An 11,611-nucleotide genomic window follows, 5' to 3' on the forward strand; every position below is an offset into this window, starting at 1 on the left:
CCTCGGGGTTCCATGAGGCTGCTGCTCTGACGTGTACAGTGGCAAGTGTGATGACAAGGACCACAGTGTGGGACAGTGTTCCTGATGCACTGGGGCCCCTCCAAAAGATGATGCTCAGCTAGGGGGCCCCTCCCCATGCAGACTATGCTCTGAAAAATAAAGTATTCATAGTTGCTCCAAAAGAATCCCTCATTCCTGCAGCCACAGGGAGAATACTGCTGAAAATCAACATGGAGCACCTTGTAGTGCCAAAAAGTAAGGAAATGCCCACATCACACACACAAACACATACAAACACGCACACAAACACACACGAACACACACACACAAGCATGCACACACAAACACAAACACACACGAACACACACGCACACACACACAAACACCCATGCGCACACAAACACACACGTGCACACACACACGCACACACAAACATGCACAAACACACACAAAAAACACATGCACCCACAGACACACAAACACACACATGCACGTGCGCGCACACACACACGATGGGGCGTGTCAAAGGGACACCAAGGCCAACCTAAAGTACTCCCCACCAGGTGCGATGCTTCACGCCTGTAATCCCAGCACTGTGGGAGGCCAAGGTGGGCAGATCACCTGAGGTCGGGAGTTCGAGACCAGCCTCACCAACATGGAGAAACTCTGTCTCTACTAAAAAAATACAAAAATTACCCAGACGTGGTGGCGCATGCCTGTAATCCCAGCTACTCGGGAGGATGAGGCAGGAGAATCGCTTGAACCCAGGAGGCGAAGGTTGCAGTGAGCCAACATCGCACCATTGCACTCCAGCCTGGGGTACAGAGTGAGACTCTGTCAAAAAAAAAAAAAAAACAAAAAAAACTCCCAACAGCCAAAGCTGGAACAATTTGAGCAAGAAAATATAGCATTAGATTTTAACCCAAACTATAAAATAAATATCCATAAATGCATATTGATAGAAACAAATGATTAAATAAATGAATAAATAAATAAGTGAAGGAAAAGAGGCAAAGCCCCCATGCTGAAGAACTCCACACCACTTCCGTAGCTGCTCCACACCCCTTACATGCGGGCTGTGCAGACACTTCCCTCCAAAGAGGACGAACTCTACATCACTTCTGTAGCTGCCCCACACCCCTTACGTGCGGGCTGTGCAGTCACTGCCCTCCAATGGCAGTGCAGTCACTGCCTTTGCTATGAGAAAGAGCAAAAGAATGATCAGTGTGCTGAGGAGGCGTGAGCAAGGAAGCCTGACATGCTATCCCACCAGGTGATAGAGGCCCCAGCCAGCCACGAGCCACATCAACTGTGTGCGCCCGTGGATGGCATGAGCATGGCACTTCACCACTGCGGTCTTCCTCCCCCAAACCTATGACTCCAGTCTCATCACGAGAAAAACAGACACATCCTGGTTGAGGGGCAGCCTAATGCCTGAGCAGTGCTCTTCAAAACTTCAAGCTCGTCAAAAGCAAGGGAAGTCTGGGAGCTGTCACAGCCAGGAGGAGCCTAAGGAGACGTGATGATGAAAGGTCACGTGGGATTCTGGACGGGCCCCTGGGGCAGAAAATAGACATTAGAGAAAAACCAGGAAAGAGGAAAGTGTGAATGAAATGTGGGCTCTAGTGAAAAATGTGTCGGTATTGGTTCATTACCTGGAACAAGCGCACCCCACTAAGGGGAGACGTCAACATGGGGGAATGGGACGTGGGTGTGGGAAGCAGGTTCACTCAACGCCAGTCCAAAGGGAGTGATGCAGGGCAGGTGAGCCCCAAAGTGGGGCTCAGCCCGTGAGAGTACTTGGCTTCACCCAAGAGAGAATTCAAAGGCGAGCTGGAGATGGAAGAAACAGCTCTATTGAAGCAGCCATGTCACAGCTCTGTGACTCCTTCTGCAGGGCAGGGCTACCCCATAGGCAGAGAGTAGCCGTGCAGGGTGGCTCTGCAGTCGTATTCATGCCCACGTTTAATTCCATGCAGGCTAAGGGGCGGTTTATGCAGAAATTTCTGCATCAACTTCTGGGTCGCTGGGTCATTGCCATGGAAAAGAGTGGTAACCCCGGGGTTTTGCCACGGCAATGGTAAACGGACATGGCACACTGCTGGGTGTGTCTTATGGAAGGCTGCTTTACCTCACCCCTGTTTTAGCTAGTCCTCGATTTGGTCCAGTGTCTGAGCCCCACCTCCAGAGTTGAGTCCCAACTCCCACCTGTGGAGGACAGCAGAGATCCTCACTCTGCCAAGCCCAGAACATGAGTCCAGACACTTCCCCCACGGCACTCTGCCTTTGCATTGGCTTGTGCCCCTGTGCCTAAGACTCTCCCCACTAGGCTTGAACACCCTGCAAGAACCGAACCCGGGCCAGATTAGGTTAGATTCAGGATGCCCTCTCTCCTCAAGACGCCCCATAACTAGCACCTGCCACTGGTTAAGTGGGGTCAGATCTCCAATGCTCCAGGGAGAAAGACACACACTAAGACCCAGGAGGGATTGATTTACACATAAAAAGAATCGCAGTAATTTGCTAATATAAATCTGCAGTAACATGGGGAACGTGTTTGAGAGTGGATTAAATGGGCGTTAGACCAAGGAGGGGAGGGGAAATATAACCTTAGATTAGGCCAAATTCCTTGACACAGGTGCACTTTCCAGAGAGCTTGGATTTCATGTGTTAACGCGTGCATCTGGAGGTGGCTCAGACAGCTTACTTGGTGGCTCGACTGAAGCTTGAACTTTGTCGTGGCCTACAGTTCATGTAGGAGGTGTGATGTGGAGGAAAGAGCCCAAAAGCTTAGGGAGAAAGGACTATTGGGCTGGATTTATGTGCAACCTCACAGCCACCTCCCAGCTGTGGTCCCTGAGGGGCCACAGGACACTCTCTTGACTAAGGTGTGAAGCAATGCTTTCACCTTGGCTGTAGGCTCCCTGCAAGCTCTCTGGTTGTAGACCAGGTGTGACTGTGGAAGATGTCACCATGAGAAATTCCTCCCTTCAGTGGGGACGATGGTATCCTGAAGTAGCAGAGGCTAACACAGCACCTAGACATCAGAGACCAGGCAGCCCACCGACAGCGAGGGAAAGCAGGGACACACATAACCATGGCACCTTGATCACCAAGGTCTTTGGTGGCAGCTAATTAATCACAGGGTCTCAAGGACAAAAGTGGTGGGCAGCCTACTAGGGTATTCTTTGGTCTAAATAACAGGAGAACCCCAGGTGTGCCAGCCAAACCCCCGACCTGAGTCACCGCAGTGGCCAGTCGCAGCCTCTCACCCATTTGCACACCCAACTCAATGCACAATCCAATGACCTGTGATTTGCAGCCCATGCTGGAAATACTCCTCCACGCCTTTCCCAAAGGGATGTACGACCATTCATGGGAGTAACTGTGAGCTGGAGAATGGAACTTTGCAGGGCTCTGAATTGATGCTAATCCTTGGGAACCCAAAACACGAGCACAGCCCATCAGTCACATGGGAACATACAGTGGTCAGGTCATGGATGGAACCCCCATTAGCTCACCTCTCACAGGGTAGGCTGTCCACGGACCCACAGTCTGGTTGTATCCCCAGTTCCTGAATGTATAATTGGAATAGACATACTGCCAACTAGCGGGATCCCCAGCATGGTTCCCTGAGCCCTGGAGTGAGGGCATTTGTGGTAGAGGAACTAGATGGAAAACGCTGGGACTTCCTTTCCTATCCATAAGAGAACCAGAATCAATATCACATTCCCGGGGAAACTGCAGAGATTAACGCCATCATCAAGGCTTGAAAGAAACAGAAGTGATCATTGCACACACACACACACACACATTTAATTCGGCTGTCAAGCCTGTGTAAAAGTTGGGTGAACCTTGGAGAATGACCGTGCACTGATGTAAACTGAAGCAGGTGGTGAATCCAGGTGCACCTGTTGTCCCACATGTATTATCTTTACTGTAGAAAATGGCATGGCCCCTAGCCCTTGTTATTCAGCTCTTGACCTCACCAATGTCTTCTCTGTACCAGTTTGGAAAGATCACCAGAGCAGTTTGGTTTTCTCACCTGGCCGGGCCAACAGTGCCCTTTCACAGTCTTGCTTCTGGGTCATGCCAGTTCTCCCACCTGCAGTGATAAGAAGCAGAGATTTTCCCACCTACAAAGCATCACGCTGGTCCTCTACACTCATGACATTACACTGAGCTGACTGTGTCTGATGAGCAGGAAGTGAAAATAACTTTAAATGCCTTAGTAAGACACACACTAACTAGAAGGTAGGAAATAAACCCCACAAAACATCAGAGGCCTGCCCATCAGTGAAGTCTCCAGGGCCCAGAGGTGTGGCGTATGTCAAGCTCCTTCCTCCAGGATGAATACAAGATGCTGCACCTCACGCCATCTTTGTGAGTGTGCTCCATGGTCATGGTCTTCTGGGTTCTGTGGACCACACTGAGGGGCCAATTGTGCGGATATTGGCTGCTGTTTTGAAGATCGTCTGCCTCTTCCAGCTACTTTCAGGATTTTTCCATCTTCTGTTTTCCACATTTTAATAGACAGTTTTGTTGGTTCACTCTGTCACTCTTACCTGGGTCTATAGAGTCCCTGGGGGCTGCAGCCTGGCCACTGTGGCAGCGGCATAGAATTGGAACCCACTGTCTGTCGCTCCCAGGACTGCCCATTCATCAGTGTGGGCAGAGTGGGAGCCATCTAAGGAGGTTGTGCAGGGAGAGTCAGAAGTGAAAGCATCTCAGGGAAGGTTTCCCGAGCTGGGTCAGCACCACGCCTTGCCAGGATGCTGGGGCCACACAAAACTGAGCATCTGCTCAGCCTCAGAGGTGGACAGGGGCCTTCTGCTTCATCTCCTTAGAGCAGTTCAGGCCTCTCCCCATCAGCTCTACAAGGTCCCAGGCCACAGGCCTGGCTTCCTTATCCTCTCCCTGGCTGCAGATGCAGGCCCCCTCAGGGTACCTTCCCAGCAGCCATCCTGGTCCTGGAGATCAGGCTTGGAGCCTGGTTTCCTGACCTCCCATGGCCCTTTTCCCCTGTGGCCTCCAGGCCCCTTCCTCTCTTAGGATGGGAGCCCTGCTGCCACAAGTATGGCTCAGTGATAACATCCTGCCAAGGCCTCTGGGGTAAAGTCACAGGCCTGCAGTGTGCTGGCCTCCCTCACAGGCCTGCGCTCCCCCAAGGACTCGAGCGGGAACCCCTCCTGCTTCCTCCAGCTTCTGGGGGCTCCAGCATTCCTGGGCTTGTGGAGGCCTCCCTCCAACTCCGTCTCTGTCTCAATGTGGGCTTCTTCTGCCTCTGTGTGCCTCCTCCATGTTCTCTTACAAGGACATTTGCCATTGGATTTGGGGCCTGCCGGGTCAGCCAGGATGTTCTCATCCCAAGCACAGGAAGCCAGGAGGACAGTCCTGCTCAGAGCCCTGAGGCCCAGCTTGGGGACGGCAGCAGCCTCCACTAGAGGATGGGGTCTGTGGCTGTGGGTGGTGTGGGGACCCCCGGCCCTCAGTGCTGCTGCCTTCCAACCAGTCTCCTCCCACGCAGACCCGCACCATCTCACCCCCACTGCATGGGCCTTCCCTGAACATCAGCCATCCTGGGACCTGGGGCTCTTCTTCCAGGATAACAGCAACATCCGGATTGTGGCCATGGAGCTGGGGCAGACACAAAGGTCACTGGAGAGGCCATCACTGGACAAGAGACCCAGAGCCCTCTGAGGCCCAGCACTCATCCACCTGATGAGCTCTGAGCCCGGTTTGTTCAGCTGGCTGCCCTCAGACAGGAGGCGTCGTGGCCTCCATCCCACCCGGCCACGCACAGATTCCACGGCCACCTCTCTCACCAACACCACTGCACCCGTCTGACAAATCCCAACATAAACCCCCAGCTGTATTAGGCCATTCTTCCATTGCTATGAAGAAATACCTGAGACTGGGCAATTTATAAAGAAAAATGGTATAATTGGTTCAGGGTTCTGCAGGAAGCGTGGCACCCACATCTGCTCGGCTCCTAGGGAGGCCTCAGAAGCTTTCAGTCACAGTGGAAGGTGAAGGGGGAACAGGCATGCCACAGGGAGAAAGCAGGAGCAGGCGGGGCGGAGAGGTGTCCCACACATTTAAACCACCCAGTCTCACAAGAGCTCACTCACTATTGCGAGGACAGCACCAATCCATGAGGATCCACCCCCAGGACCCAGACACCTCCCACCGGGTCCCACCTCCAGCACTAGGAATCACAATTCAACATGAGATCTGGCAGCGACATGCATTCAAACTAGATCCCCTGCTGCCTGATTCTCTGTGTCTCCACCTAGCTGCTAAACACTGTTTGAAAAGTCCCACACAAGCCATGGATCAGGCCTCCTCCAGGGTGTGGCCTCCTGAGCAGCCATGCAATTGGCACTTCATTTATTATTATTATTATTTCTTTTTGAGACAGAGTTTCATTCTTGTCACCCAGGCTGGAGTGCAATGGTGCGGTATTGGCTCACTGCAACCTCTGCCTCCCAGTTTCAAATTATTTTCCTGCCTCGGCCTCCTGAGTATCTGGGATTACAGGGGTGTGCCACCACACCCAGCTAATTTTTTTGTGTTTTTAGTAGAGACAGGGTTTCACCATGTTGGCCAGGCTGGTCTTGAACTCCTGACCTCAGGTGATTTGCCCACCTCAGCCTCCAAAAGTGCTGGGATTACAGGCATGAGCCACCGTGCCCAGCCTAATTTTGTCTTTTTAGTAGAGACGAGGTTGGCCAGGCTAGTCTTGAACTCCTGACCTCAGGTGATCTGCCTGCCTTGGCCTCCCAAAGTGCTGGAATTACAGGCGTGAGCCACTGTGCCCAGCCCTCATTTATTATTTATTGATTTAGAGACTGGGTCTTTCTCTATTGCCCCGTCTGGAGTACAATACCACAGTCATAGCTCACCGCAGCCTTGACTTCCCCACCTCAAGCGATCCTCCCACCTCATCCTCCCTAGTAGCTGGAAATACAGGAGTGTGCAACCATGCAGGGTTCATTTTTTAAAGGGTGGGGCTTACTCTTTTGAAATGTACTAAGTGACAGCTGAGGAGATGTTCCAGACCCAGGAAACAAAAGAAACCTCAGACCCTGCTCTACACCACTAAATGGCAAAAGCAAGAAGATTGACGACACCAAGTGTTGGTGAGGATGTGGGGCATCTGAGATTCCCGGGCCCTGAGGGTGGAGGGACATGGTCCCATCCAGATGCTGACATCAGGAGCCAGCCCCGCAGGGCCTCATGAGGTGGCGTACCCACCCCACAACCCAGGCACTCCTCTCCAGGGTGCCCGCCCAAGAGAAACGAAACCTGTCCACACACAGATCGGTGATAAACACCATGCAGCCTTATTCCTTGAGCCAAAAGGGAAAAGACCCAAACGTCCATCCACAGGTGAATAAACGTCCTGTCCATCCACACCATGAATGGTCCATTGGCAAGGAAAAGCAATGAAGGCTGGTAAAAAGATACACATGCCTCTCAAAATCAGCGTGCTGAGTGAAAGAAGACAGATGTAAGGGGATTGGTTTGGCTGTGTCCCCACCCAAATCTCATGTTGAATTTCCCACATGTTGTGGGAGGGACCTGGTGGCAGATAATTGAATCATGGGGGCGGTTTCCCCGTTACTGGTCTCATGAGATCTGGTGGTTTTACAAGGGGAAACCCCTTTCACTCGGTTCTTAATTCTCTCTTGTCTGATGCCACGTAAGACGTGCCTGTCTCCTTCGGCCATAGTTGTGAGGCCTCCTCAGCCACATGGAACTGTGAGTCCATTAAACCTCTTTTTCTTTATAAATTACCCAGTCTCAGGTATGTCTTTATCAGCAGAGTGTGAACAGACAAATACATAAAGGGACACTTACTCTACAACTCCCTGTACAAGAAGCTCTAGAGCAAAATGACTCTATCATGAAAGACATGAGAACAGCAGCTGCCCCTGGGTGGGAAGGACTGAACAGGAAGGGCCTGGAAGAACCTGGGGTGTGGAGTGTGCTACATCTTCATGGAGGTGGGGGCTGTGCTCAGATACGCATGCCTCAAAACTCCTCAAACTCTACACTTAATATCTGCACATTTCACTTCAATTTTTAAAAATAGATGCTACACCAAGAGGACATTTTCCTCCATCAGAGTGGCAAGAACCCAAAAGCTTGATAGCACCCTGCCTGGCCAGGCCGGGGAGAGACAGCCCTCCCTGGCATGAGCACACACAGGTGCAGCCCCTCTGGAGGGCAATGTGCACACTTCCATCAAAATTACAAATGCATGTTCTCTTTCACCCAGCGACTCCACTTTTGAAAACGTTGCAGTCTATAAACACTCTCGTTCACGTGCCCAGAGAGCGGCACATGTAGAGGCCTACTCCTCACAGCACAGTGTCTAGAGGCAAACTCTACAGCAGTCTATAAATACTCTCGTACACGTGCCCAGCGAGCGGCACGTGTAGAGGCCTACTCCTCACAGCACAGTGTCTAGAGGCAAACTCTACAGCAGTCTATAAACACTCTCGTTCACGTGCCCAGAGAGCGGCACATGTAGAGGCCTACTCCTCACAGCACAGTGTCTAGAGGCAAACTCTACAGCAGTCTATAAACACTCTCGTTCACGTGCCCAGAGAGCGGCACATGTAGAGGCCTACTCCTCACAGCACAGTGTCTAGTGGCAAACTCTACAGCAGTCTATAAACACTCTCGTTCACGTGCCCAGCGAGCGGCACATGTAGAGGCCTACTCCTCACAGCACAGTGTCTAGAGGCAAACTTCACAGCACCTGCAAAGGAACAGGTGTACTATGCTACCTATGCTACCTTTTGCATAAACATGGAAACATGAATAGATTCAGATTTGCTTGTAATTTCCTAAAGAAACTCTAGAAGACATTTGAGACGTTGATAATAGTGATTATCAGCTGATGACATAGGGGCTGTTGTCTAGAAGCATCTATAAGCCACAATTAACGGCCTGCACTAAAGGCTGAAGGGGTGTGTGTCCACCAGGAAAGGAAAACAGATATTGTGAGAGAGCCCTTGAGAAAATAAACCAGAGTGGAGGCGTGGCCTGCAATGGCCACACACACAATTCACACACACTCACACACAGTCACACACTTTCAGACACACGTACACCCACACACATTCACACTCTCTCACACATACACACAGACACACATTCACACACAGACACTCATATACACACACTCACATTCACACATACTTTCTCACACACACCCACACACATGCACACACACTTTCACACACATACACACATTCACACACTTACACACGTACACACAACACACATTCACACTTTCACACATACATCCACACACTTTCACACACATACACCACACACTCATTCAGACACACACTCATACACATTCAGACACACAGACACACACATACACACCCACACACATACACATTTAGACACACATTCACACATACACCCACACACATTCACAGTCATACACACATATTCACACACATACACCCACACACATTCACAGTCATGCACACATTTACACACACATTCACACACATACACACCCACACACTTTCACAGACATACACCCACATTTTCACACTTTCACACACATACACCCACACACATTCACACTCATACACCCATTCACGTTCACACTCATACACACATTCAGACACACATTCAGACACACATTCAGACACACACATACACACCCACACACATGCATTCAGACACACACCCACACACATTCACACTTATACACACACGTTCACACACATACACCCACATTCACACACACTTTCACAGACATACAGCCACATTCACACTTTCACAGACATACACTCACATTTTCACACACACTTTCACATACATCCACACACATTCACACTCTCACATACATATATGCACTCATGCACCACACTCACACATTCACAAACACATTCACACACACTTTCTCACACACACACATTCAGACACACATTCACACACACGTTCTCTCACACATACATTCAGACACATGCTCACATATGCACCCACACACTTTTGCACACACTTTCATGCACACATCCCACACACTCCCACACATACGCACTCATGCACACACACACACATACACTCACACACATACACTCTCTCCCACACCCCCAGCAGATAGCCCTCCCCTGTTAAAGACAAGTTACTATTAGGAAGTGACTTCACACCTATGCATAAATACTTCAAAAATTAAAATGAAGGAATTATACATAAAAGACAAATGAAAAACATTCACCCCTGGGAGAACGACCCAAGGAAACACAGGCAAAGTTCAGACAAAAAGGTTTCTTCTGCTTCAAGACAACCTCATCTCCTAAAAGGGAGAAGCGCTCAAAAAGGAGATGTGTGGTTTCAAAGAAGAGATGATAAGATAACAGAAGGTGTGAGCCACTGGAGCCCAGAAAAGAGATGGAAGAGAGAAGTTGATTGGAGACCATAACCACATCTGAACAAAGAGAAAAATAAACATGGCTGAAAATGCCTTTAAAAGGATAAAGTGTTGAGCTTGAGGAAGTCACACACAATAAAGTGAAAGTTTCTACAATGTAAAAATAAGACGGTAAGTACAGAATTCAAACAAAGAAGATATAACACATGCACAATTGATGTTCCTGAAGAAGAAAACAAAACACATAAGCCTGAAAAAAAAAAAATAGACTCTGGGCTATCACAAAATACATGTTCCTTAAGCCTGGATCTGCAGCTCTGCAGAGCACACATTCTGGGGGCAGGAGTGGGGCCAGCAAAACAGCACGATGTATGCTGCTGCCATTGTTAAACTTCAGGGGGTTGGAAATAATCAGACGGAGCATCACTTAAATATCAGAACACAGTAGCTACAGAGTTCTGATGGAAAAAATGTTTGACTTGAGGATTTTATATCCGATAATCCTGACTTGACGTATAAAGGAAACAGACTCTTAGGTAGGCAAGAACTTGAAGAATACACAGCGCCCACAGGAGGAGAAAGCGGGGATCTCCCGGGCCTGTGGCAGCCCGAGATTCCCATTGTCCCAGTGAGACAGGAGGTGGGGCTTGACTCCAGAGGAAGGGCTCAGACACTGGACCAGATTGAGGACTAGCTAAAACAGTGCTGGGGTGAAAGCAGCTTTCAATCAGACCTGCCCACCAGTGTGCCATGTCAATTTACTGTTGTCATGGCAACGCCCAGGAGTTACTGCCTCTTTCCATGGTACCCAATGATCCAAAAGTTACTGCCCCTTCCCTGCATACTCCTTAATCTGCATGCAATTAAAAGTGGGAACCCAAGTGCGGTAGCTCACACCTGTAATCCCAGCACCTTGGAAGGCCAAGACCGGTGGATCACCTGAGGTCACGAGTTCGAGACCAGCCTGGCTAACATGGAAAAACCTCATCTCTACTAAAAATACAAAAATTAGCCAGGTGCAGTGGCACATGCCTGTAATCCCAGCTACTTGGGAGGCTGAGGCAGGAGAATCGCTTGAACCTGGGAGGCGGAGGTTGCAGTAAGCTGAGATCACACCACTGCACTGCAGCCTGGGTGACAGAGTGAGACTCTGTCTCAAGAAAAAAAAAAGTGGGTATAAATATGAGCAGAACAGCCCTGAGCTTC

The sequence above is a fragment of the Homo sapiens genome, chromosome 14, assembly GCF_000001405.40.
Source record: "Homo sapiens chromosome 14, GRCh38.p14 Primary Assembly".
NCBI classification, from domain to species: Eukaryota; Metazoa; Chordata; class Mammalia; order Primates; family Hominidae; genus Homo; species Homo sapiens.